Consider the following 27,723-nt stretch of genomic DNA (forward strand, 5'->3'; position numbering starts at 1 on the left):
TGGTCTTCCTCTTCTTGGGGAGACCCAGAACTTCCAGAGAGTGTCCTGGACCATGAAGGTGACCAGGAAAGGGAATAGGTGGGTGGAGGCCGCTGCAGTGAAGCCTCAGGCCCCCTCTGGTCTCTCCAGGGTCATCCTGGATCATCTGAATTTCCCTTTGAAATGAGCATGCACAGGTTCAGCTGATTCATAATTTAATACCCCGTGGGGTTCATGCCACAGGGAAGCTCCGCTGCCCCACAGGGTCTGGGCCAGGTGGAAGAGAGCAGCCTTTTTGGACCACTGGCGGTGTCCTCTCCTTCGCCATCTAATTGAAGCCCATCTTCCCAATCAAAAGCAGGCGAAGGGCCCCAGCTTCTTCTAACACTCACTCCCTGGCCCTCACTGGCCTCCCTGCCTCTCTCTGCCCAACTTCTGGCATTGTGCAAGGTCTGAGACCTCTTTGGACATGAGGCATGTGGTCTTAACCTGGCCCTTGTTCCAGACAGGTGGGCAGACAGGTAAGCAGAGCCGGTGCTCCCAGGGCAGGCGAGGGAGCCATGTGGTCAGGCCTCAGGACCCTGGGCCCCACCGGGAGATGTGCTCCTGGGCTGGAAGGAAGCAGAAGAGAGCAGGGCTCGATGGCAGCCCAGGCAGTCCCAAGATGGCAGCCCTGTTGCACTCGGTCTGGAAGTGCCCATGGCCGTGGTCCCTGTGGCGCTCCAGGCCTTCCTAGCAGAGGCTGCTGGGAGCTGGTGCCATGCTAGGTTTCACCTCCGCCTCCACCACAGTTCATGGGGCTCCCGGGAACACCAAGGAACCCAACAGGTTCCCAGGAAGCAGCTTTCATGACAGGAGAGGGTCCTTGGAGAAATCCCCTGCAGAGCTGTAGCTCTAGTCCTTCCTGCGTGGCCTTGCTGTATGAAGCTGGGCCCGTCATTGCCCCTCTGGGCTCAGGAGCCCACAGGTACAAGGCCATCAACAGGGCATCCTCTATGGCCCCGTGTGCCCAGACCCACTCTGAACCTGCCACCTAGATACCCTTGCAGGCTGGACCGGGTCAGCAGCACTCCCAGGGTCAGGGATCAGAGAAGGGGAGCCTCAGGAAGTCCCTCACCAAACTGGCAGATGTAACGGTTTCGGGTTTTGCAGCGCTGGTCGTTCCAGTTGAAGGCAGCTGAAGCCTGCAGCTCCACGCAGTTGCCAAACCTGCAGGCCAGGGTGTGGTGGTCAGGAGGCAAGAGTGAAGTCAGGGATCCGGGAGAGGCCTAAGCCCTCCACCCATCAGGACCCTGCATCTCAGGGGCTCCAGTGCCCCCACCTGCCGACGGGGCTGCTGGGAGCCAGGCCCGTCCCCAAGCCCCCAGCCCTGCTCCACTTCTCAGGGAAGCCCCTTCCTGGGTTAACAGCTCTGCCTACCCCATGGCAGCACTCAGCCACACCAGCCTGTGGGGATGGTGGGGATTGGAATAGACAGCCCACTTGAGAGGTACACCTGGGAACCCAACAAGGCCCAGACTTCCTCCAGGCAAGAGGCCAGGGGCACAGGCCGGCTGTTGGCAAGGAGGGCTGGCTGAAATCGCTGGAGCCCTTGGTGGCCTCGCAGCCGGACCACCTCCACCCTGGCCCTGGGCATTGCTGGGCTTTGAAGAGCAGGGTGGGGCCACGTGACCAGAGGGTTCTTGCTACAGGATGGCTGGTGGGTCTGCAGGTGCAGGGTTGTATTGTGAATGAGTGCAGGTGGGTGACAGCTAAGGAATGCTGGCATCAGTGTAACTGATGCAGGCAGAGGGCATGCAGAGGGAGGGGTGAGTGGATGAGAATTGGAGGGATGGAGTCACAGCCAGGGGACACTGGGGATGGACAGATGGATGGAGGCTTCCTGGGTCCCTCTCTCCCCCACGTGACGTGCCTTCCGGCTTGCATCTCCCTCACCCCACCACCGGCCCACACCAGCTGTGCCCACAACTCTCTGGCACCTGGGCAGGCACCAGGGAAGGATCAGACCCTCAAAGGGCCCAGCCAGGCAGCGGGATGGGGGGGCTCCACCAGGCAGGCCCAAGTGAGAAGGAGGCCCAGGGGAGGGAGGCACCCCACACTTACCCGTGGTTGTCAGGCTGCCCAAAGGCAAAACTGGTGAAGGCCTGGTGCTCCCCTGTGGCCCAGCGGAAGGAGTCCTTGGCGGTCTTGTAGGTGAGCCCTGGGCCGGGGTAGTCAAGGTTGGCCCACTCAGACCCTGGAGTCTGCTGCCAGCTGCCTTTCTGGCCCCTCTTCCCAGCGCTGGCAGCCCCCATGTGCTCCCTACCTGGGCCCTCCCCGGGAAAGGGGGTGAGCAGCTGGCCCCGCTCTGGGCTCCAGGCCCTCAACACACCCTTGCCATCTGCTGGCAGCCGCCATGGCCCAGGGTTCCTGCAGCAGGGTGGGGCATCACAACCCCTTACTCGCCATACCCCCAATCAGCTGGGCACTCACCGATCCAGAAGTTCCTGGTCTCGAAGTCACTGTCAATCACCTCGTTGGTGGTCTCCAGGCGGCCCAGATAGAAGGCGAGGATGTCCTGCACTTTCTGGCTCTTGATCTGGGCCAGCACCCCGCCTTTCCTCTGTAACCCCACCCTGGGTCACACAGGCAAGTCTCCCAGAGCCCAGGCTGCCCCTTCCTGCCACCCCTGCCCATGGCCTAAGATGCCACGTGTGTGTGCTGGCCGGGCTATCATCACCCCCAGCCCGCACAGCCTCCCTTCCAAGAGCAGGGGTCCCTTCTGCTCCCGTCTGCTTCTCTTCTCCCTGTGCACAGGGGCGCGACCAGCAGCCCACAAGCCCAGGCAAGGTCTGGCCCCTGAGGAGGTTCTGTTTCACCTGCACAGTGTCTTAAATATATCCGAGTTGATTGCCAACCCCAGTAATTAATTGTGGTTTCGAGAGTTGCCAGTGGAAGTCTGGGTTGCTGGTTTTCTTGAACAACCCCGAGCTCTGGCCACCCTGACCTTGCATTCCTGCAAGGCAACCAGTGGCTGGAACTCCCTTAGATGGAGGTTGGTCTTGACCTTGGCCCCTCAGGTCAATAAGTGACCTCCTGGCTTCTATGAGCCTTGGAGTCCACGACCCCTGCTTTATGCTGATGAATAGGGTGAGGTCAGAGACGTTGAAGGAACCACCTCTCACTCCAGGGTCCCTGCATTAAGACCCTCACTTGAGGCCCTAGGGGGTTCCTAGGAAGCTAGGGGTGACTGTCACCTGACATTTCATCCTGGCTCTGTAATAGGTGTCTGCCTCTGAAGACACCATGAAGCAGTCTCCGTCGATCCTCAGGTCACAGGTGTGGAAGGGAAAATGCACCTTGGCTGGGGTAGGGGAGCCTGAGTTTGTGTGTGGACTTCAGAATCCCTGCCCTTTCCTGCCCTGCCGGGGAGCTAAGCTCAGGGTGCCCCTTCCTCTGGCCACCTGCTCCAAAAGAGTGGGTGGTGAGGGTCAGGAGTGAGCTGGTCAGTTGGAATATTGAGCTTGCTCTCTCTCAAAAGAAAAAAAAAATCCATGGTTTATAGCATTTGCCAATTTCTTTGGTGTAAATATCCATGCTGTGGCCAGTTTCAAGATCTCAACGTGTTGTCACTGAATGAGTTGGAAAGAGAGGCACACAGCGGGCTCCTGGGAGCTGATGCCCCATTGAAGGGGGGTCTTGAGAGGAGCTGGCTCTTTGGGGGCCCTGGGGCAGGACTCACTGGCACACTGGGCTCCCCCGTAGCCGATGTCACAGACGCACGAGCACTCCTCCTCCCGGAACCGGCCGTGCACACACTGCAGGCTGCACCTCACTGCCAGGGCAGGGCAGTGGGGCAGAGGCTCAGCCCCCAGCCTTCTGGACCCCACGCTGCCCCCCAGAGGCCTCGAACATCCAGGGAATGCCAACCACAGCAAGAATACCCCTCCCAGAGACAGAACCCACCAAGGCTTCCGATTGCTGGCACGCCTGGTGTCTTTGGTTTGGTCCCCATTGCAGAGTGAGGCATATTGGAGTTTGGGAGGTGACCTGCCCATGGTCACAGAGTGGGTTAGGGTAGAGGGGCAGTAGGGCAAGAATCCACTTCTGGGTCCTAATTCTGTCCTCCTCCCAGAGCCTAAGGGGCTGAACCTGATTTCACTTTGAATCTCCTGCACAGCTCAGGGTCCGGCAAACAGCTAGTGCTCAGTGAATGCTTGTTGAAAGAATGTATGCAGTGGGCAGACTCAGGGAGTACACAGTCAGCACCTCTGACACCCTTGAGACTCTCAGGAAGTGTAGCAGCCCTAGGACCTGCCACGAGAGCAGGGCTGGGCACACCCAGGCTCCAGTGCCCTCACCTTGGCAGTATCTGCCCGTGTAGCCAGGGGGACAGTGGCAGTGGCAGGTGCTGATGTTGAGACGTCCATGGTTCTGGCAGCTCATGCGACAAGGATTCCTGGGGACCTCTGGTCAGAGGAGGAGGGGACTCTGAGAAAAGGGTCGCCTCCCAGCAGGCCGGGCAGGACCTCCCTGGGTGCTAAGGGCCAGGGCTTCTGGGACAGCCCAGTAGGATGCTACCACCCCCACCCCAGGGTCACCAGACTGAGCCCTCATGCACTCACCACAGAGCCCCCCTGCATGGTCCCAGGCTTTGAAGCAGCCTGAGACACTGGCTGTGCAGAGCGAACACCAGGCACCCTTCTTATAGGGGATGATTGTCTTCCCGTTGACCTCCCAGTTGCCTCTGTGAGGACGAGCAGGCACCACAGGGTGTGGGAGGGCCTGGCCTTGGGCAAGGCAGTGGCAGGGCCCTGCTGCCTACCTCCCTGGCCCCTTCAGCTCCTGCGGCCAGGCCAGGGAGTCAGGGAGCTGGGTGAGATAGGGAGATTCCCTGGGAGAGAAGAGATGGCCTCCAAACCAATCCTGGACAAACTCCCTGATACCAGGACCAGTATCCAGGAAGGGACATCCGCAGAGCAGCACCTTCTGCGTGGCCAGAATCTTTAGCACCCTCTGCCTTTCCTCTCCTCCCCTCTCCCACCAAGGGTGCAGAGCAAGGCATCAGGGACTCTACTTTCGGGTGGATGTGTGGGAATCTCACCCTCGGTGAAAGCACCCCTCCCTGTCTCCCAGACATCCCAGCAGAAGGTGTAGCAGGGCTTACCCGGGGGAGTAGGCACAGACAAAGGCTTCTATCGCTGTCTGGCCTGCAGAGCACAGGTGCCGCCCACAGCCCAGCTGGCTTGAGGTGGCCCACACGAGCTACAGGAGACACAGGGGATCAGAAACCCTATTGTGAACCACCCCTGGGGAGGGGGACACAGCTTTCGCTATCATCCAGGCGAACAGAGGGCTCCCTTACCTCTTCGAGGGCTCAGGAGCAGCAGCTGTCCTGGGCAGGGGTAGAAGCATGGGTGGGAATAGTTCAGGAAGGCTTATTTATTTATTTATTTATTTATTTATTTATTTATTTTTGAGATGGAGTTTTGCTCTTGTTGCCCAGGCTGGAGTGCAATGGCCTGATCTTGGCTCACCACAACCTCTACCTCCTGGGTTCATGTGATTCTCCTGCCTCAGCCTCCCGAGTAGCTAGGATTACAGGCGACTGCCACCATGCCCGGTTAATTTTTTTGTATTTTTAGTAGAGACAGGGCTTCTCCATGTTGGTCAGGCTGGTCTTGAACTCCCGACCTCAGGTGAACTGCTTGCCTCGGCCTCCCAAAGTGCTGGGATTATAGGTGTGAGCCACCGTGCCCAGCCTAGGAAGGCTTTCTTAGTTGAGAGGGGGATGGAGAGGGGAGGTACCTGAAATGAGGGGAGATTGTTGATGGGTGGAGGGGAGTAGCCAAAAAAAGACTGGAACGTCAAGGGCCTTGTGACTGCATGGTGACCACAACCATTCATTTCTTGCAGTAGGCCACTCCTTTAAATGTGACTCTGCAGCTTTTTGCAGCAAAGAGAGGTGTCTCTTTCCTTGCTCCTTGAATCTGGCTGGCTCTGTAACTGGTTTGGCCACCAGAATGCCACAGAAGTGATACTGAGCCGATTTTGAACCTAGGCCTTAAGAGACCTTGCCATTTCCACTCATTCTCATAGAACCATGCTCAGTCACCACATGAACAAACTCAGTATAGGAGTTTGGAAGGCCTCATGGAACAGAGATGAACCATTAGAGGCCTTTTTGCACAGCCAGCTCCCAGCCGGCCCCCTAGTTGATTGCAGGTGTATGAGTGGGCCCAGCCAAGACCAGAAAACCTCCCTGCTGAGCCCAACCCAAGTGGCTGACCTGCAGAATCGTAAGCTGCTAAATTTTGGGGTAGTATGTCATGCAATAAAACCTAATGGATACAGGTCTGCAAACCAGTTTAAAGTCTTAGAATCAGCAACAGCTTGGAAATAGCACAAATGGGCAATATATAAGAAGAGTGAAACAAACTCTCCAGTAGAGACTAAAAATGACATGTACAAGACTGGCTTGTAGCAGGCAGATGTGAACATGTGATCATATACATGTATCCAACACTTAAAGAATATGTATCATTTTTAGGAATGCATGGGACTTTTGCAAACCAGAAAGGAGGACCATACATTAGACCACTAAGCAAGTTTCAACAAATAGCAAAGAATCAGCACATCCTACAGCCCACATTCTATGAATTCAATGCAATGAAATTTAAAGTAAATAATTTACAAGTAAATAGAGAAGATAACATAGTTTAGAAACTTAAAGATACACTTCAAAATCTAAAACAACATCATGGCCAGGTGTGGTGGTTCACATCTGTAATCCCAGCACTTTGGGAGGCTGAGTTGGGTGGATCATGTGAGTTCAGAAGTTCAAGATCAGCCTGGCCAACATGGCAAAACCCCATCTCTATTACAAATACAAAAAATTAGCCAGGCATGGTGGCACACACCTGTAGTCCCAGCTACTCCGGACCTGAGGTGAGAAGATCACCTGAGCCCAGGAAATTGAGGCTGCAGTGAGCTGAGATTGCACCACTGCACTCCAGCCTGGGCGACAGAGCCAGACCATGTCTCAAAACAAACAAAAACAACATCATGATTGGAAATAGAAAAAACATCAAAACTTATTGGATGCAGCTGAAATCGTTTAAAGGGAAATTTATAGCTTTAAATGTATATAGTAGAAACAAAAAAAGATTTAAAATTAATGATCTAAACATTCACATCAAGAAAATTAGAAACAATAATAGAGGCTGGGCGTGGTGGCTCAAGCCTGTAATCCCAACAGTTTGGGAGGCCGAGGCAGGTGGATTACCTGACGTCCGGAGTACTAAAAATACAAAAATTAGCCAGGTGTGGTGGCAGGCGCCTGTAATCCCAGCTACTCAGGAGGCTGACGCAGGAGAATCTCTTGAACTGGGGAGGCGGAGGTTGTAGTGAGCTGTGATCGCACCACTGCACTCTGGCCTGGGCAACAGAGCAAGACTCTGAATCGAAAAAACAAAAACAAAAACAAAACAAACAAAAAACAACCACCAACAACAAAACAGAGTTAGGTTTTTCACACCTTTGAGTCTGACAAAACTTAAGGAGCCAAGGCTGGGCACAGTGGCTCACGCCTGTAATCCCAGCACTCTGGGAGGCCGAGGCAGGCGGATCATGAGGTCAGGAGATCAAGACCACCCTGGCTAATACGGTGAAACCCTGTCTCTACTAAACAAAATACAAAAAAATAGCCGGGTGTGGTGGCGTGTGCCTGCAGTCCCAGCTACTAGGGAGGCTGAGGCAGGAGAATGGTGTGAACCCAGGAGGCGGAGCTTGCAGTGAGCCGAGATCGCACCACTGCACAGCAGCCTGCGCGACAGAGCGAGACTCCGTCTCAAAAAAAAAAAAAAAATTAAGGAGCCAGAAGATCTTCGGGAAGTGGGAACTGGTTTGCTGGTCTGCACAGTTGGCGTAAGCACTTTGGCAGCACCTAGTTGTAGGGGCACATGTTCTTCTTTTTACTGAGCCAGGGTTTTACTCCTGCTGCCCAGGCTGGAGTGCAATGGCGCAGTCTCAGCTCACTGCAATCTTCACCTCCCAGGCTCCAGCAATTCTCCTACCTCAGCCTCCCAAGTAGCTGGAACTACAGGCGCACACCATCACACCTGGGTAATTTATGTATTTTTTTGTAGAGGCAGGTTTTTTCCATGTGGCCCAGGCTGGTCTCGAACTCCCGGGCTCAGGCAATCCTGCCACCTTGGCCTCCCAAAGTGCTGGGATTACGGGCGTGAGCCACCGCACCCAGCCTTGTGTAATATTTAAACATGCACAACCCACTTGCACAGGTAGTGGAGGTATTAAATATTTCCTGGGATTTTGCTTGTGTTTTTCAGTGCATCTGAAGAGCACCAGGTGTGTGTAGAAGACCCTCAACAAATATTTGTTGAATGAAGAGAAAAAATGGAAACTTGCTTGGCAGTGATGCTCCTGAACTTTGGGAAGATTCCCTCCAGGGAGGGACAGCGGGAAAAGGGGAGGAGCAGGGCTTTAGTTTAGTAGCATCTTCTAAACCTAGGTAGTGGGTAAGAGTGGGGCCGTTTTAAATTTATGTTTGAGGCTGGGTGCGGTGTCTCACACGTGTAATCCCAGCACTTTGGGAGGCCCACGCAGGTGGATCACTTGAGGTCAGGAGTTTGAGACCCAGCCTGGCCAACATGGTGAAACCCTATCTCTACTAAAAATACAAAAATTAGTGGGGTGTGGTGGCTCGTGCCTGTAGTCCCAGCTACTTGGGAGGCTGAGGCAGGACAGTCACCTGAATCTGGGAGGCAGAGGTTCTAGTGAACCGAGATCAAGCCATTGCACTCCATCCTGGGTGACAGAACAAGACTTCGTCTCAAATAAATAAATAAATACGTTTATGTTTGAAATTATTTATATTTCAGATTGAAAAAAAGTGGCTTAGGCCAGGCATGGTGGCTCACGCCTGTAACCCCAGCACTTTGGGAGGCTGAGGCAGGCAGATCATTTGAGGTCAGGAGTTCGAGACCAGCCTGGCCAACATGGTGAAACCCTGTCTCTACTAAAAATACAAAAAAATGAGCTGGGTGTAGAGGCGCACACCTGTAATCCCAGCTACTTGTGAGGCTGAGGCACAAGAATCGCTTGAATCTAGGAGACGGAGGTTGCAGTAAGCTGAGATCACGCCACTGCACTCCAGCCTGGGGTGACAGACTGAGACCATGTCTCCAAAAAAAGAAAAAATGTGGCGGGGCACAGTGGCTCACGCCTGTAATCCCAGCACTTTGGGAGGCTGAGGTGGGTGGATCACTTGAGGCCAGGAGTTCAAGACCAACCTGGCCAACATGGTAAAACCCTATCTCTACTAAAAGTATAAAGCCATTAGCCAGGCCTGGTGGCACATGCCTGTAGTCCCAGCTAGTCAGGAGGCTGAAGTACAAGAATCACTTGAGCCCAGGAGGCGGAGGTTGCAGTGAGCCGAGATCACGCCACTGCACTCTAGCCTGCGCAACACAGCAAGACTCCGTATCAAAAAAAAAAAAAGTAAAACTAAACCAATTGGAGGAAAAGGAATCCCAACATTTAGGACAAACTGTAGCCTCTTCTGAGATGGCCCAGTGGAAGTCTGTATCTGGGAGCTGGCACGCTGGCCTCACCTGCAGCACACTCACCTGCGTGTAGTGGGTGCAGGTGGCGTTGCGAGCACACTCTCCTGCCGCGTGGCTGTACCGCTGCCCCTCTGCAAACCACAGGCTGACCACTTCAACAAAGGACGCCAAGCCCGCGGGCAGCAGCTGCATGTTCCAGCCCACTTGCAGGGTGCGCCACAGGCCGGACGCCAGGCTCGGGGTTGGGATTCCACAGAGGGCTGCCCTGGCTTGAGCCAGTTGGGCCAGGCTGTCACTCCAGTCCTGGGGGCAGCACAAACAGACATCTGTGGGAGGCCTTTGACTGCTGGGCCAGGCCTCAAAGATTCAACTCCCCTGCCATCTCTGAGCATCCACCGGGTGCCAGGTCAGGTGGCAAAGAGAGCACTGGATGAGGAGTCCTGCTGGAGGAAGCACTGGTGTTGTCTGATGTCCCTCCAGGAGGAGCCCAGCTCCTCTCACGACTGAGCCTCCATCTCCAAATCCTGTCGTGGGCATCCTTCGGCCCTGCCCAGGCAGTGGGACCCGCTCCTGCTGTCTTTCTCCCATCTGGTCATGTGAGCAGTGCCCACGCGTTGCAGACTGGTTCTGTGTTTGGGCCCTGGCCATTGTCAGAAAGGCTCCACTGCTCCCACCCGGCCATGCTGCCCTCCTGTGATGCAAAAAGCCCTACAGCCACACCTCTCTGCCCTAGTCTCCTGCCCCCAGGAGCCTGGCCTCATATGCTCCCCACCACGCACAGCTGACCCCGCCCCCTCCCTCTTCTTTTTTTTTTTTGAGACAGAGTCTCACCCTGTCGCCCAGGCTGGAGTGCAGTGGAGAAATCCCGGCTTACTGCAACCTCCGCCTCCCAGGTTCAAGCAATTCTCCTGCCTCAGCCTCCCAAGCAGCTGGGATTACAGCCATGTGACACCACACCTGGCTAATTTTTGTATTTTTAGTAGAGACGGGGTTTCACCATGTTGGCCATTGCTGGTGTCAAACTGCTGACCTTAGGTGATCTGCTTGTGTCAGCCTCCCAGAGTGCTGGGATTACAGGTGTGAGCCACCGTGCCCAGCCCCCTCCCTCTTCTTAAACAAGGGGCCTGGCAATCACCACCCCTGGGTGACTTGGTGCAGTCCCCTGATCTCCCGAGACTCCCTGAGCTCATCTGTAAACGGAGCAGGGAGGTGCCTGCAGGATAGGACTCACAAGCACAGAGTGGATGCAGGGAGGGGGGCCCCTCGGGGCTGCACCCCAAGCCAACTTCATCCTGCACTAATGTCCATCGGGGTTTTACCTCTGATGAAGGCTGGGGCCAGGAGCTGGGGGCTCCCCGGGGTCCCTCAGCAGCCCTCCACCCCCACAAGACCTTCAGTCTCCACTGTGTCCAAAGAAGGGGTGCCCTGGAGCCCTAGAGGCCCGGAGGGTGCTCGGGGCCGGGCCACGAGGGAGGCTGAGCCATGGAGCTCCATTTGCACCTTTATGGAAATGAAGTTTTCTAAGACTTTGACAAAAGGGCCCTGGAAAGGGTGCCAGCTGCCAGCCAACGACCACCGCAGCCCCTCCTGGGGTCCCAGGCAGGAGTACCCAACCACGGAGGTCACAGCTGGGAGCACCCCTGGTTGCCCAGGGTCTGAGCCTGAGGAGAGGCAGAGCCACTCAGGGCTGGGAATGGGGGAGAAGCGACCCCCCGCATTTAGCCACCCCACCCCCACCTCCTGGGAAACTGACCCTAGAGTGTTCAAGGTCGCCACTGTGGCCACCTGCCTTGGAGGAGTTCATGGGAAGCAGCCATGGGGAACCCTCCCGCCCCCACCACCCTGCCCTGGCTCCCTGGCCTGCTAACATGGGCTGGGGCTGCTGGGGTCCCAGACAATGGAGGGCAGCGTTTCTGAGCCTCCAGATGACAGTCCCAACCCCGCAGCCCCAGCCGGGCTGGTGGGGAACTCTATACCCCCGACCCCTGGCCCCTGCTGAAAATGTGGAAAATGTGGACGAGTGAGTGAGCAGAGAACATGGGCAAGGCCCGTCCTAGTGGCTCAGATAAGCTCAGGAGGAGGCGCTGGGTCCTTGCCGCACAGAAGCCCCTCCCCAGCCCAGCACGACCTTCTCCCTCCCTGGCCCGGCCGCCCATCCTGCAGGGCTCCTCGTGAAGCTCCCCTTCCCTGGAGGAGGGGATCCGGCTCCTCCTGTGGCTCCTGGTCTCTGTGGCAACAAGATGCCAGGGAAGGCCCAAGGTCCTGCCCTTCAGGCGAGTGGGAGCCAAGGGGCCCGACCTCCTGAACTGAGGGTGGGGGGTTAAGAAACTGCAGAGACCCCCAGCAACCAGGGCCTCCGTCCCTCAGGGGCAAGGTGGCTGGCTGTGCCTGCCCACCCTGGTCAAGTGGAAGGGCACCTGGACAGGCGTGGCCTCCTGAGCCGCCCTCTGGGGTCCGCGCCTCCGGCCACCCCCCTGGCAGAGCCCAGCTGGGTCGGGTACTCACCAGCCTCCGCATGTCAGCCGCAGGGGGCTGGACCCAGCTGCGCAGGCGGTTGTGCAGGGAGAGGAGCAAGAAACTCTCCTTCCTGTTCAGGGCTGGGGTGGGGAGAGAAGGTCAGGCAGCCCGAGGATGGGGGGACCTGAACCCAACACACGGCAGAATAAGCATGTGTCCCTGCCCTTGGAAAACAAGATGGGAGAGGAGTGTGGTGGGTGCAGGGGACGTGGGGCATAGCAATGGAGCGAGGCTGAGAGAGAGACCAGGTACAGCAGGCGTGGGCTGAGTGCTGGGGTTGGGGTGGCGGGAGGGAACAGCGGTGCGGGCTGGGTGTAGGGGCCAGCCCTGGCTCCCGCAGGCCCCTGTCTGGGGCTCCTCCGGGCCACGGATTTCTCCAGGCCCCAGCCACAGCGCTCCTCGGCGTTCCTCCTTGACCCCAGCCCTGGTCCTCCTTCCTCCTCCTTCCTCCTCCTTCCTCCCCAGTCCAGCATCCACCCCTCACCGCCCCCGGGCTGTCCCAGGGCTTCCTCATTAAACCACCCGCACGGCCTGGGGCTCAGGCCTGGGACCGGGCTTCCAGAAGTCTCCTAGCACCCACTCCTCAGAGCTCATAATGGTGCCTCCACCTACCTCCTCACCAGGTGTCCCTTACCTCCGGCCATCGGAGCCTGCTCCTGCAGCTGGGGTGGCCACACCTCTGCCCAGGTGGTGCCAAGGAGGGCCAGGAGCACAGCCAGGAGATGCCCCCGGCCAGGGGAGGTCTCTGGATGCAGCATGGGTCTGTTGGGCCCGTCAGGCGCTCCGTGCACAGCCTGGCTCAGCCACCCGGCTTGTTTCTCAGGCTGGATGGAGCTATTCACAATCTCCAGGAGTCAGGCTGGGCTGGTGGACAAAAGAGGGGGGCTGGTGAACAAAAGAAGGAGGCTGGTGAGTGAGTAATCAGTGTGTCCAGACAGCCTCCTGTTGGCGCTGGCATGAAAAGAGACAACTCCCGGGGATGCCTGCCTGCTCCGGCCTCGGCCTGGCCAGCCCGCCCCCGACAGCAGGCAGAGTGGCGTGCACTGCCCCGCGGCCCCTGCTAATCATTGTGGGATTATTAGCACCCTTGGGGAGCCCCCAGAGACCCCGCTGATTGGCCTGGGGACATTCCGGTGCTGCAGATTAGTGACCGATGGCCGTGTCCTGGCTGGGACAGTGTCCTCCGAGCCCACTGATGGCTTCCGCTCCCCAGCCCCGGGCCCTGGGAGGAGGACCTCGGCTATGGTCCTTCTGGTGAGCAGGAACTGGGCAAGACCCCAGGGGAGTTCTTTCCTTTCTTGGGAAGCTCGTCCCAACCCCCCAGCCATGAATTAAACATAGGCAAGAGGTAACCGCACACCAGAGGGGTGCAATCTGTGGGCTCAAAGGGGGGTGGGCTGAGGCCGCACCTGCACGAGGAAAAGGGTGCCTTAGGAAAGTCTGTCTGGGCAGGGTCGGGGGCTGGGCCCAGCCCCGGTGCCCACCACCCTCACCCACGTGACTACAGGCCAGGGGGGGAGTGAGGCAGGAGGAGTCAAAGCAGGCGGGGACCAGAGCACGTGATGCCCTGGGCTGACTCCAGTCCTGCTGGGATCACGTCCGCCTCTAGAAAAACAGGCGGCGTAGCAGGTGGGCAGCACGTTGCCATGATGTGCCGTGGCCCGGCCGTGGCTGGCGTGATCCCACCAGAGTGAGCTGGAGCAGATCTGCACCATGGGCCAAGTTTCTCAGAAAATACATGGCTTCCTGCGGGCTGCAGCCTAATGCCCACGTTCCTCTCGGGGCAGACCGAAGGTTATTCAACCAGGGCAAAGGACAGCCTTGCAAACCAACTACGTCCTCCTTCTGGAGTTTGTGTGACCCCTGGCCCCTGAGCCCACACCCTCTCGGAGCGGGGTTCCAACTCCGTGGAAGCTCTGCTGAGATGCAGGTAGGGTTGGCTTTCCTGGGGAAACACCAGTGGAATGTGGCTATCGTCATGGGTGCCAGGGATGGGGATGAGGCCAGGCATACAGGCCATGAAGGCGGTCTGGAACTGCATGTCCCCCACAATACCTAGGGGCTCAGGAGTTTCTTCTCCCTCAAACAGAAACCCAGCACCCTCAGGGTCACTGCGTGTGGGTCCTAGCAATGCTTAATAGCTACCTGTTTTTTGATGTATTTTTATTTTTATTTTTTAGACAGTTTCATTCTGCCACTCAGGTTGGAGTGTTATAATCTCAGCTCACTGCAGCCTTGACCTCTTGGGCCCAAGTGATCCTTCCACCTCAGCCTCCCAAGTAGCTGGGACCAGGTGTGTGCCACCATGCCTGGCTAATTATTATTATTTTTTTTGGTAGAGACAGGATTTCATCGTCTTGCCCAGGCTGGTCTCCAACTCCTGGGCTCAAGGGATCTTCCCACCTTGGCCTCCCAAAGTGCTGGGGTTGCAGGCATGAGCCACCACACCTGGCCGAGCCACCTGTGTTTATGGAGCTCACAAAGCCTGTTTGCATGTGTGAGTTCAAGTTATTGCCACAAGAACCTGGTGCAGTAGCAGATGGGATGCCCGTCGTGTAGATGAGGAAACGGGCTTAGTGTGTCTAAGGGGCTTGTCCAAGGTCACTCAGCGAGTGCATGGAGCATCCCAGCTAATCCAAGGTCTCTGCCTTCCCATTCCCAACGCTTTAATTCACATCCTGATCTTTCCCAGTGCAGTTTCCACAGCTCTGCTATGCCGGGTGATAAAAGACCCACTTCCTACAATTGGGCTTCCATGGCAAACACGGCCAGTTGACCCATATAGTATGATGCCAGGCACTTGGGACAGGCGGGAGAAAAAGATATTTTGGGGATTAGGGTGGAGCAACTTTTGAAGGGTCCCATGGCCCTGGCTCACTGCAAGAAGAGTCCCAGGCCGGGTGTGATGGCTCATGCCTGTAATCCCAGAACTCTGGGAGGCCAAGGCAGGCGGATCACTTGAGGTCAGGAGCTTGAGACCAGCCTGGCCAACATGGTGAAATCCTGTCTCTACTAAAAATACAAAAATTAGCTGGGCAGGGTGGTGGGTGCCTGTAGTCCCAGCTACTCGGTAGGCTGAGGCAGGAGAATTGCTTGAATCTGGGAGGCGGAGGTTGCAGTGAAGCAAGATGGCACCATTGCACTCCATCCTGGGCAACAGAGCGAGACTCTGTCCCACCCCCGACCCCTCAAAAAAAAAAAAAAAGAGTCCCAGGAGAGCAAGGTTCATGGGCCAGAAGAGAAGCTGAGTGGATAAAAGATTAATGAGACACTGGAAGACCTAGGCTGGAACCGACACGCTGTGTGACCCTGAGGATGGCACTCCCACTCCTGAAGCTCAGTATCCAATGGCGTAGAGCTGGGATGACCCCTCTGCTGGGCCCCTAACCAGGGCATTGCAACTTGGTTTCCATGGTACTCCCTCCTGGGTTCAGACTTTTTAGTGGAGCCTGCTCGGTGGCTGGGGTGGGTTTGGAGAATGGGCAGCCTCATTCTTGCAAGGCAGCTTTCCCCAGGTGAGGCTACTACAGGGTTTACATCCACCACCCAGACTGTAGGATTCACATTTTGCTATATTTTCTTTATCACCTGTGTCTCTATCTATCCCACCCCTCTCCAGCTCATGCATAGCTGATACCTCTTCTCCCAGTCTGCATTTGAAGGTTATAGCGTTCGAGTCATTTTGTCTCTTCCTGAAGCAGCTCCTTTCTTCAAAGCCTTGAAATCTTGTTGATGGTCTCAAAAAAAAAAAACAAAAAAAAAACAAAAAGAAAACCATTTAACTCTAGGAGAGTTGTGGCCACATTTTCTTTTAAAAATTACATGTCCAGGACAGGCGTAGTAGCTCACTCACACCTATAATCCCAGCACTTTGGGAGGCCAAGCTGGGTGGACTGCTTGATCTCAGGAGTTTGAGACCAGCCTGGGCAGCATGGTGAAACCCCGTCTCTAAAAAAAATACAAAAAATTAGCTGGGCGTGGTAGCACGTGTCCATAGTCCCACCTACCTGGGAGGCTGAGGTGGGAGGATAGCCTGAGCCAGGGATGTCAAGGCTGCAGTGAGCTGTAATCGTGCCACTACACACTAGCCTGGGTAACAGACCAAGATTCTGTCTCAAGAAAAAAAAAATTAGGCCAGGTGCAGTGGCTCATGCCTGTAGTACCAGCACTTTGGGAGGCCGAGGTGGGCGGATCACCTGAGGTCAGGAGTTTGAGACCAGCCTGGCCAACATGGCAAAATCCCGTCTCTACTAAAAATACAAAAATTAGCTGGGTATGGTGGAACACACCTGTAATCCCAGCTACTTGGGAGGCTGAGGCATGAGAATCACTTGAGCCCAGGAGACAGAGGTTGCAGTGAGCTGAGATCACACCACTGCACTCCAGCCTGGGCAACAGAATGAGACTCTGTCTAAAAAAAAAAATCATGTCTATTTGATTTTTAAATTTTTCTTGAGACGAAGTCTGGCTCTGTTGCCCAGCTGGAATGCAGTGGCACAATTTTGGTTCACTGTGACCTCTGCTTCTGGGGCTTTGACCTCCACATCCCAGGCTCAAGCCATCCTCCTACCTCAAGCTCCTGAGTAGCTGGACTGTGGGTGTGCGCCACCATGCCAGGTAATTTTTGTATTTTTAGTAGAGATGGGGCTTCACCATGTTGCCCAGGCTGGTCTCAAAGCTCAAGTCATCTGCTGGGATTATAGGCGTGAGCCACCACAACCAGCCCCATATTAGTATGTTGAAGCCCTACCTCCATTACCTCCGTGTCACTGTATTTAGAGATAGGGTCTTTAAAGAGGTAATTAAAGTTAAATGAGGTCACTGGGGTGGGTCCTGATCCAGTCTGACTGGCCTCGTTATAAGAAGAGACACACAGAGGGAAGATCCTGTGAAGACACAGGGAGAAGGCGGCTGTAGACAAGCCAAGGAAAGAGGTCCTCAGAGGGAACCAACCCCCCGGCACCTTGATCCTGGCCTTTATGCCTCCAGAACTCTGAGAAAATACATTCTGTTTTTTAAGCCACCCAGTGTGTGGTACCTTGTATGGCAGTCCTAGCAAACGAATACAGCCCTTACGCAAAACGTACAGCTAATATCACACTTAACAGTGAGACCAAAGACTTTCCTCCCTAAGATCAAAACAAGGCAAGGATGTCTTTTGTCACCGGTCCCACTAAACATTGTACTATTGAATGCGCAATTTGTGCAATAAGTTAAGAAAAAGACATTAAAGGCATCCACACTGAAAAGAAAGAAGTAAAACTATCTTCATTTGCAGATGACATAATTCTACTGTAGAAAATCCGAAGGAATGTGTAAAAAAAAAAAAAAACCCTACTAGAATAAAGGTCTCAGAATACAAAATTAACATACCAAAATCCACTGCATTTCTACACATTGGCAATAAACAATCCGAAAATGAAATTGAGGAAACAGTTCCACACATGGCCAGGCACGGTGGCTGACATCTGTAATCCCAGCACTTTCCGAGACCGAGGCAGATGGATTGCTTGAGGTCAGGAGTTCAAGACCAGCCTGGCCAACATGGTGAAACCTCATCTCTACTAAAAATACAAAAAATTAGCCAGGCGTGGTGGTGGGCAACTGTAATCCCAGCTACTCTACTCAGGAGGCTGAGGCAGAAGAATTGCTTGAACCCGGGAGGCGGAGGTTACAGTGAGCCGAGATTGCGCCACTGCACTCCAGACTAGGCGACAGAGTGACTCATTCTCAAAAAAAAAAAAAAAAAAAAAAATCCATACACATAAAACTGTAAAACAACATTGCTGAGAGAAACTAAAGATCTAAAAAAATGCATAGACATTTCACATTCATCCAGGCTGGACTGCAGTGGCGTGATCTCTTCCTACTGCAACCTCTGCCTCCTGGGTTCAAGTGATTCTCCTGCCTCAACCTCCCGTGTAGCTGAGATTACAAGCACCTGCCACCATGTCCAGCTAATTTCTTTTTTTTCTTTTCTTTTCTTTTTTTTTTTTTTTGAGACAGAGTCTCACTCTGTCACTGAGGCTGGAGTGCAGTGGCGCGATCTGGGCTCACTGCAACTTCCACCCCTTCGGTTTAAGTGATTCTCCTGCCTCAGCCTCCCAAGTAGCTTGGATCACAGGCACCCGCCACCACACCCGGCTAATTTTTGTATTTTTAGTAGAGACAGGGTTTTACCATGTTGGCCAGGCAGGTCTTGAACTCCTGACCTCAAGTGAGCCACCCACCTTGGCCTCCCAAAGTGCTGAAATTACAGGCATGAGCCACTGCACCTGGCCAATTTTTGTATTTTTAGTAGAGACAGATTTCACCATGTTGGCCAGGGAAAACTCAATATTGTTAAGATAGATGGTAATTCTCCCCAAATTTGTCTATTAATTCAATGCAATGCCCATCAAACTTCCAAAAGATTTTTGTTGTTGTTGTGTTTATTTTAAAGCAATTGAGAGGCCAGGTTTGGTGGCATGCGCCTGTAATCCCAGCTATTTGGGAGACTGAGGCAAGAGGATCCCTTGAGCCCTGGAGTTTGAGACCAGCCTGGGCAATATAGCAAGATCCATCTCAAAAAAAATTTGAAAACTGGATCTTAAAATTTGCATGGAAACGCAAAGGAATTAGAATAACCAAAACACATTTGAAAAAGAATAAAACTGGAGAATGTATACTACCTGATTTCAAAACTTGCTATGAAACTTCTAGTAATCACATCTATAAGATATGGAAAAAGGACAAGACATATAGATCAAGGAACAGAATGAACAATACAGGAAAAAACTCTTACATTTATGGCCAATTTATTTTGTTTTATTTGAGGGTCTCACTTTGTCACCCAGGCTGGAGTGCAGTGGTACCATAATTGCTGAGTAGCCTCGAATTCCTGGGCTCAAGCCATCCTCATGCCTCAGCCTCCTGAGCAGGTAGAATGATAGGCACGTGCCACCATACCCAGCTACTTTTTTTTTTTTTCCAGACAGGGTCTCACTCTGTCACCCAGGCTGGAGTACAGTGGTGTGCTCACGGCTCCGGGGTTCAGGTGATCCTCCCACCTCAGCGTCCCAGGTAGTTGGGACTATGGGCATGCACCACCATGCCCGGCTAATTTTTTGTATTTTTGGTAGAGACGGGGTCTTGCCATGTTGTCTAGGCTGGTCTAAAACTCCTGGGCTCAAGCGATCCTCCTGCCTTGGCCTCCCAAAGCGCTGGCATTACAGTTGTGAGCCACCGCGCCCGGCTCCGCCTCCCGGGTTTACACCATTCTCCTGCCTCAGCTTCCCGAGTAGCCGGGACTACAGGCGCCCACCACCACACCCGGCTAATTTTTTGTATCTTTAGTAGAGAAGGGGTTTCACTGTGTGAGCCAGGATGGTCTTGATCTGACCTTGTGATCCACATGCCTTGGCCTCCCAAAGTGCTGGGATTACAATCATGAGCCACCGTGCCTGGCCCTTCTTTTTCTTTTTTTTAGATAGGGGTCTCACTATGTTGCCCAGGCTGGAGTGCAGTGGCTATTCATAGGTGCAATCATAGTGCACTGCAATCTCCAACTCCTGGTCAGCCGCTACTTCTTAAAATGTTTCTCTGTCTGGTTCATGTTTCAAAGTCTGGTTCATGACTCTGCTACACTTCAGTTTCAAAAGCTGGTAGCAAAGGAAAGAACATGCCAAGAGCTGAGGTTCTGCTGTGATGAGACCACCCAAGCTCCCCGTATCTATACCAAGGGATCTGTTGCCCAGGCTGGAGTGCAGTGGTGTGGTCTTGGCTCACTGCAACCTCTGCCTCCCGGGTTCAAGAGATTCTCCTCCTTCAGCCTCTCAAGTAGCTGGGATTATAGATATGCACTACCACACCCGGCTAATTTTTGTATTTTTAGTAGAGATGGCGTTTCACCATGTTGGCCAGACTGGTTTTGAACTCCTGACCTCAAGTGATCTGCCCGCCTTGGCCTTCCAAAGTGCTGGGATTACAGGCATTAGCCACCACACCCGGCCCAGATGTCTTACTTAGCTCTTCAAGGCTTACGGAAGTTGGTACCTTGTGGAACTAGGCTGGGGAGGTCTGGATGCCAGATGTTCTTCTGAGGTTGCTGTTCTTATAATTGCTGTATTCAAATATATCACCCAGTTGAGATGAAATGCCTAGAGCACAGCTGCGGAGTGGGACCAGCTGGGCTGAGGAGGGAATGAAGTACAAACATCCAGCGATGTTCAGGGCCCTGAAGCAGCTGGGAAGCGCAGGCGTTCAAATCACCAGAGGCATGGCTATATCAGCTCACATATCATGCACACAGATGCATGTCCTAGGCGTGGAAACAAAGCTCCCCAGACCATGGTTAACTCACCGCATGCACCTGGAGTTCCATCTGCACCAAGGCACCAGTGGTTACTTTTAGAAATAAACAAGTCACAATGAACACAGTTAAAAGATGTCAGCACTAGTGGCACTTGGGGACTCCAGCCCAGCTCCTGTCACAAGCAACTGGCCACCAGGTCTGGACCCACATCCTTTGCTCTTGGCCTACTGAGGTCATTCAGTTTTGCTCATCTCCCACAACCTGGAAACCCAAGGGGGCAGGCTGTGCAGTTCATCCTGGAAGAATAATAGAAGAGCAGCTGTCGTGCATGGAAAGATCATGCAATGGGTCAAGTATTTAATTAATTATTTTTTGAGACAGGGCCTTGATCTGTCACCCAGGCTGGAGTGCAGTGGCGCGATCATAGCTCACTGCAGTCTTGAACTTCTGGGCTGAAGCGATCCTTTCACCTCAGCCTCCCGGGTAACTGGGACTATAGGCACGTACCACTCTACCTGGCTAATTTTTTGATTTTTGGTAGAGACGGCGTCTCCCTAAGTTGCCCAGACTTGTCTTGAACTCCTGGGCTCAAGCGATCCTCCTGCCTCAGCCTCCCAAAGTGCTGGGATTACAGGTGTGAGCCACTGCGCCTGACCTGTTAATTTATTTTTTGAGACAGGGCCTTGATCTGTCACCCAGGCTGGAGTGCGGTGGCACGATCACGGCTCATAGCAGTCTTGAACTTCTGGGCTGAAGCGATCCTTTCACCTCAGCCTCCCGGGTAGCTGGGACTACAGGCACGCACCATTATACCTGGCTAATTTTTTTATTTTTGGTAGAGACGGGGTCTCCCTAAGTTGCCCAGGCTGGTCTTGAACTCCTGGGCTCAAGCGATCCTCCCACCTTGGCCTCCCAGTGTTGGGATTACAGGCGTGAACCACCATGCCAGTCTGGGTCAAGTATTTTATATTCATTACTTGAGTTTCATAACAACCCTATAAAGTAGGCATCACTGTCCATTTTAAAACAAGTAAACAGAGGCCTAGGAAAGGTAACCACCCAAGGTCGTATACACCAAGGAAGAGGCAATGCTGGCATTCAGACCCAGGCCAGTAAACCCAAAGCCCCATGCCCTTGACCCACCACAACAATCTGGGATTCTGAGGGGCTTGAGTCAGGTGACACCCCAGATCTAAGCATCTGAAGGTCCCTAACTGTGGAGGCTTTCATGAGAACAAGCCACTGGACGGTAAGCACACGTCGCTCTTCTCAAGGGAGGGTGTACTAAAGGAGCCTCATCTCACTCCCCCTGTGCCATGGAGGCCACACCAGGTGAGCACCCTTGGGAGGGAGACGCATAGCCTGACTGGGGTGCTAATGTGTCCCGGCACTGGGTTCTCCACATGAACAGTTGTGTGAATCCAGGAGGCTCAGATCACGTGCCACAGCGCCACCTACTGGCCTGCGAACAACAACATCAGGAGATCGATTCCACTGGCTTTTCTTTGTTGCTCTGTGTGATTTCTTTACATATTCTGGATACACTGTCAGATGTATGTATTAGTCTCTCTCTATATAGAGAAGAATTATATAAGGAATTGACTCACGTGATTGTGCAGACCGGCAAGTCTGAAATTTGCAGGGCAGGCTGGAAACTCAGGTAAGAGTTGATGTTGCTGCTCGTCTTGAGTTGAAGGCAGTCTGGAAGCCAAAATCCTTCTTCCTGGGGGAACTTTAGTCTTTTCTCTTAAGGTCTTCAACTGATTGGGTGAGGCCCACCCATATTATGGAGGGCTTTACTGCTTTACTCAAAGTCTACTGACTTAAATGTTAATCACATCCAAAAAGTATCTTCACAATAATATCTAGGCTGATGTTTGCCAAACGTCTGGGCACCAAAGCCTAGCAAAGTTGACACATAAAATTAGCCAGCACAGCATCCACTTACTTGCTTGTAAAATGGGCAGTGACACACCTTTTTTTTAGACTTAACTAATGCACATTAAATATGCGGCCTGTTGTAAAAATCTTCCCATACATGACAACTGCTTTTTACCTTCTTTTTTTTTTTTTTTTTTTTTTGAGATGAAGTCTCCCTCTTGTCACCCAGGCTGGAGTGCAATGGTGTGATCTCGGCTCATTGCAACCTACGCCTCCTGGGTTGAAGCAGTACTCCTGCCTCAGCCTCCCAAGTCCCAAGTAGCTGGGATTACAGGTGCCTGACACCACGCCTGGCTGAATTTTTTTATTTTTAGTACAGACGGAGTTTCACTATGTTGGCCAGGCTGATCTTGAACTCCCAATCTCAGGTGATCCACCCATCTTGGCCTCCCAAAGTGCTGGGATTACAGGTGTGAGCCACTGCACCCAGCCTACTTTTTAAATTACTCTTGCAAGACAAACTGCATGGCCTATCCCCTTGGATTTCCAGGTTGTGACAGATGACTGGAGATGAGCAAAATGAAATGACCCAAGGAGGCCCAGAAACATTCAGCTCGAGAAGCAAATAACCCAGGCCCAGGTGTGTTGGTCAGTTGCTTGTGATGAACGCTGGGCTGGAGTCCACAAGTGCCATTGGCACTGATGTCTTCTAACCGAGCTCCTTGTGTCTGTTTACTAATTATGTGGGCTTAGTGTAGACTTCCTCTAGGATGCAGCCTGGGAGTTGGTGCAATGGTCTGATTGCAGGGAGGTATCTTTGCATGCCCAGGACATGCCCCTGGGTGCATATCCTATGTGAGCAGCTCTCCTCCTGGCCCCTGGGGATATTGGCTAGCATGGGCCCTATGCTTTCCAGCATCTTCCGGGCCCTGCATGTAGCTCGAAGTTTGTGCTTCATTTCCTCCTCAGACTGGCTGGCCCACTCTGCTGCTGTGCTCCAGAACCTCTCCACTGTGTGACCAGTTTGAACACCCAACCTCTGCACCTATCGTCTGGGTTAGAACCTTTCAGCAGCCTCACAGGAAAGCTTTGTGCCCAGTCTTCCACAGCCCATCTGCACGGGGACCAACTGCTGCCAGCCTTGCAGAGCAAAGGTGGCCAGGACGGCTGGCCACAGAAAAGGGTGCAGACATGGGGAAGGCTGGCTAGAGTCTCATCCAGAGAGGAGAGCCCATACTTGTGACCCATTCCACATTCTCCTTTACCGGGCAGTTTTTTGTTTTTTTGTTTTTTTTAAAACAGCATCTCACTCTATCTCCCAGGCTGGAGTGCAGTGACACAATCACAGCTCACTGCAGCCTCGACCCCTGGGCTGGAGTGACCCTCCTGTTGACAGCTATTGTGAGGCCTTGGTTCTTGTCTTCTTGGTTTAAAAGAATTTAAACAAGAGACACACAGCAAAAGAAGTGCAGCATAGAGTCATTTACTGTAAAGAAAAGAGTATTTTGAAAGTTAACTATATATAGGCTGGGCATGGTGGCTCACGCCTGTAATCCCAGCACTTTGGGAGGCCGAGGCGGGTGGATCACAAGGTCAGGAGTTCGAGACCAGCCTGGCCAATATGGTGAAATGCCGTCTCTACTAAAAATACAAAAATTAGCCGGGCATGGTGGCAAGCGCCTGTAGTCCCAGCTACTTGGGAGGCTGAGGCAGAAGTATTGCTTGAACACAGGAGGCGGAGGTTGCAGTCAGCCGAGATCGTGCCACTGCACTCCAGCCTGGCCAACAGAGCAAGACTGCATCTCAAAAAAAAAAAAAAAAAAAAAGTTAAGTATGGAATAGACAGTGCACTGAGAAACAGCATTCGTAAGGATGAGACAGCAAAGACTGGCGCTAGGGAGGCTCCCTTTCTGGAAGCCTTTCATGATTATTCGTAAGTGGGTGGGAAGAGGCGTTACTAGTAGGCATGGTCTGGGTGGTCTTCTTGGTGCACATGTGCAGTAGTTGTACATGCTTGTTTATACATCGCATGTCTCTTTAGCATCTTTTTTTTTTTTTGAGACAGAATCTCACTCTGTCGCCGAGGCTGGAGTGCAGTAGTGCGATCTCAGCTCACTGCAACCTCCACTTCCCAAGTTCAAGCAATTCTCCTGACTCGGCTTCCTGAGTAGCTGGGATTACAAGCACGTGCCACTACCCCTGGCTAATTTTTGTACTTTTAGCAGAGCCAGGCTGGTCTCGAACTCCAACCTCAAGTGGCCTGCCCTCCTTGGCCTCCCAAAGTGCTGGGATTACAGGTGTGAGCCACCGCACCTGGCATCTTTAGCATCTTAAATCTCCACCCAGGGGTGTATTTTTTACTATTAAAATGAGCAGTGTGTCGGTTTGAGGACAGGTGAAATCAAAATGTGCATGCTCTCTACAGGGGCAATCGCCTACTGAAGACAGCTTTGCTTGAATGAGCTCGATTACAATGTGAATGCTGAGGCTTATTGTGTTGATTGTACAGTCACCACGCTTGCTGCGTTCCCAGAACATGGTCATTTCCTTAACTACCTATCCTGCCTCACTCCCACCCCAGCCTCTTGAGTAGCTGACACTACAGGTGTGCAACACCACACCTGGCTAATTTCTTTTCTTTTCTTTTTTTTAGACAGTCTTGCTCTTTTGCCCAGGCTGGAGTGCAGTGGTGCAATCTTGCTTCACTGCAACCTCTGCCTCCCGGGTTCATGTGATTCTCTTGCCTCAGCCCCCCGAGTAGCTGGGATTACAGGCATGCACCACCACGCCCAGCTAATTTTTGTATTTTTAGTAGAGACAGGGTTTCACCATGTTGGCCAGGCTGGTCTCGAACACTTGACCTCAGGTGATCCACTGGCCTTGGCCTCCCAAAGTGCTGGGATTACAGGCGTGAGCCACTGTGCCTGGCTCCTTTTCAATTTTTGTAGAGACAAGGTCTCACTATGTTGCTCAGGCTGGTCTTGAACTCCTGGCTTCAAGCCATCCTCCCAAAGTGCTAGGATTATAGGCATGAGCCACTGCACCCAGCCACTACCTGACAGCTTTTAAGCCAAAGCTTAGTGGAATCATGGGAGGGAGAAATCCTAGCGTCAGCAAGTGAGGACTCGGGCAAGGAAAAGGACCTCTCCTCTCCAGGTCCACTTAGTGCCAGAGCTCTGCGCCTCACAACACACTGCTTGTTCCAGGCTCCACTTTTTCTTCTCAAAATGCTTTATAAATGCCTGGTCCCCATCCTCTTTGGAGTAAGGGTTAACGCTATTCTTCAGGTAATAAAATAAGGCACAGACTCTCTTCATATGATCTGGTACAACACCTCATCCCAGATGTGAAATCCTCTTTGCCTAGCCAGGCCATGCTTTCCTCCTCCAGGCAGGCTTCCAGATCTCCAGCTGCAGCTACTCATCCAGTCAGGAGCCAAGAGAACGAGAGAGGTAGACAGGGTGCAGCCTGCAGCCTTCTGCAACCTCCAGCCCCAGAACCCCTCAGCACCAGTTTATAAATGAAAGAGGTTTAATTGACTCACAGTTCCGTATGGCTGGGGAGGCCTCAGGAAACTTACAATCATGGTGGAAGGGGAAGCAGGCACATCTTACATGGTGGCAGGCAAAAGGCGGCCAGAGCAGGGAAAACTGCTTTATAAAACCATCAGATCTTGTGAGAACTCACTCATATCACAAGAACAGCATGGGGGAAACCGCCCCCATGATCCAATGATTTCCCTTCCCTTCCTTACAGGTCCCTCCCTCGACACCTGGGGATTACAATTAGAGATGCGATTTGGATGGGGACACCGAGAGAAACCATGACAGGGGCTCTCCAGAGAAGCAGCCCAGCCTTGGGCAACTTAGTTCTCCCATCTGACCATCCAACCCAATAAGGCTGCTGACTCACATAGGACCAGGTTAGTGTTTTTCTTAAAGGCACTACCTTTTTGTGGCTAATTTTTAGAATTTATTTTTATTATTATTTTTTTGAGACGGAGTCTCACTCTGTTGCCCAGGCTGGAGTGCAGTGGCGTAATCTTGGCTCACCACAACCTCTGCCTCCCGGGTTCAAGCAATTCTCCTGCCTCAGCTTCATGAGTAGCTGGGACTACAGGTGCATGCCACCACACCCTGCTAATTTTTTGCAGTTTTAATAGAGATGGGGTTTCACCGTGTTAGCCAGGATGGTCTCTATCTCCTGACCTCGTGATCCCCCTGCCTCAGCCTCCCAAAGTGCTGGGATTACAGGCGTGAGCCACTGTGCCCGGCCGCTAGAATTTAATTTTTATCAGATATATAAATACTAGTTTGAAGTCAAGTAATACTACAAAGCTTATAATGATGAACAGCAGCTCCCTGACTCACCAAACCCTTGCAATTCTCAATCCTCAGGAGTAATAACTCTCAACTCTTAGAGCTCTTTCTTATGGTAATTAACTATTAATTCATGCTCATACTGTTATTTTATTGGTTTTCAGGTTTCAGATATTCTCCACTAACTAGGAAGATGATTTTGCTTTCAGACCACACAGACACTCATCGCCCCTCTTGCCACCCATCCTTTAAATTTGATTGTTTTTTCCTTCTGGGGTTCAATCAATATTCATTGTTTACATTGTTTTAATTATGCAAATATCACTACTTGAGGCATACCACATACTCTAATTACATTTCTGTTAGTTTTCCTTTAACTGAAAACGTCTTAATTTCACCTTCATTCTTGAATGATATATTTGGTGGATATAGAATTTTGAGCTGACAGTTCTTTTCTTTCAACCCCTAATGATGTTCTACTGGCCTCTATGATTTCTGATGAGAAGTCCAAGTCATTCAAATCCTTGTCTGCCTTAAATTTGTTGTTTTCTCTGTTTTCAAGATTTTCTCAGTTTGCTTTTTTTTTTTTTTTTTTTGAGACAGAGTCTCGCTCTGTCACCCAGGCTGGAATGCAGTGCTGAGATCTTGGCTCACTGCAACCTCTGCCTCTTGGGCTCAAGCAATTCTCTGGCCTCAGCCTCCCTAGTAGCTAGGATTACAGGCACCTGCCACCATGCCTGGCTAAGTTTTGTATTTTTAGTAGAGACAGGGTTTCACCATCTTGGCCAGGATGGTCTTGAACTCCTGACCTCAGGTGATCCACCAGCCTCGGTCTCCCAAAGTGCTGGGATTACAGGTGTGAGCCACTGCGCCCAGACTATTTTGCATTTTTAATAGTTTGATCATGAGGTGCTTAGGCATAGTTCTCTTCAAATTTATTTTGTTTGGGGCTTATTGAGTATATTTATTTATTTATGAGATGGAGTCTCACTCTGTCACCCAGGCTGGAGTACAGTGGCATGATCTCGGCTCACTTGCAACCTCCACCTCCTGGGTTCAAGCAATTCTCGTGCCTTGGCCTCCCAAGTAGCTGGGACTACAGGCATGCACCACCATTTTTTTGTGGCTAATTTTTGTATTCTTAGTAGAGATGGGGTTTCACCATGTTGAC

The 27,723-nt window shown here is 52.7% G+C and overlaps 1 protein-coding gene and 1 long non-coding RNA gene across 13 annotated transcripts, besides 1 other annotated feature; one reads left to right on the forward strand and one right to left on the reverse strand.

Moving 5' to 3' along the window:
* Positions 1-177: 177 nt before the first annotated feature.
* Positions 178-15,796, reverse strand: CLEC18B (C-type lectin domain family 18 member B). Of its 12 annotated transcripts, none has more exons than XM_047434174.1 (13): positions 15,697-15,796; positions 12,694-12,923; positions 12,048-12,139; positions 9,606-9,845; positions 5,126-5,223; positions 4,584-4,705; positions 4,320-4,427; positions 3,701-3,793; positions 3,216-3,322; positions 2,452-2,581; positions 2,083-2,179; positions 1,097-1,188; positions 178-590 (listed from the first exon to the last, which is right to left on the reverse strand). In XM_047434174.1, the coding sequence occupies exons 2-13, from the start codon at positions 12,815-12,817 to the stop codon at positions 553-555; spliced, it is 1,341 nt and encodes a 446-aa protein (XP_047290130.1). In that variant the 5' UTR covers positions 12,818-12,923; positions 15,697-15,796; the 3' UTR covers positions 178-552. The 12 variants fall into 12 exon arrangements, with proteins under 12 accessions (XP_047290130.1, XP_047290129.1, XP_047290128.1 ...); XM_047434173.1 differs by having other exon boundaries at positions 12,694-12,944; XM_047434172.1 differs by lacking the exon at positions 15,697-15,796 and adding an exon at positions 13,469-13,688.
* Positions 13,667-27,119, forward strand: LOC107984827 (uncharacterized). Its single transcript, XR_001752253.3, has 3 exons — positions 13,667-13,989; positions 25,990-26,155; positions 26,717-27,119. It is a non-coding gene; the product is annotated as an uncharacterized LOC107984827 (long non-coding RNA).
* Positions 22,756-23,309: an enhancer, noted in NCBI's record as "H3K27ac-H3K4me1 hESC enhancer chr16:74465107-74465660 (GRCh37/hg19 assembly coordinates)". NCBI's record gives its function as "activates a minimal SCP1, AML or CMV promoter by ChIP-STARR-seq in naive and primed H9 embryonic stem cells {active_cell/tissue: H9 hESC(naive and primed)}" and the evidence as "EXISTENCE:reporter gene assay evidence [ECO:0000049][PMID:30033119]".
* Positions 27,120-27,723: the final 604 nt, after the last annotated feature.

The sequence above is a fragment of the Homo sapiens genome, chromosome 16 (assembly GCF_000001405.40).
Source record: "Homo sapiens chromosome 16, GRCh38.p14 Primary Assembly".
NCBI classification, from domain to species: Eukaryota; Metazoa; Chordata; class Mammalia; order Primates; family Hominidae; genus Homo; species Homo sapiens.

What these genes read in the sequence shown, in the direction of transcription:
- CLEC18B (NM_001011880.3), bottom strand. Translation starts at nt 12,817, where the DNA reads ATGCTGCATCCAGAGACCTCCCCTGGCCGGGGGCATCTCCTGGCTGTG. An exon ending in CCTGCACCCACTACACGCAG is followed by an intron (nt 5,224 to 9,605) that starts GTGAGTGTGCTG and finishes TGTCTCCTGTAG; the next exon opens with CTCGTGTGGGCCACCTCAAG. An exon ending in CCATGCAGGGGGGCTCTGTG is followed by an intron (nt 4,428 to 4,583) that starts GTGAGTGCATGA and finishes TCCTCTGACCAG; the next exon opens with AGGTCCCCAGGAATCCTTGT.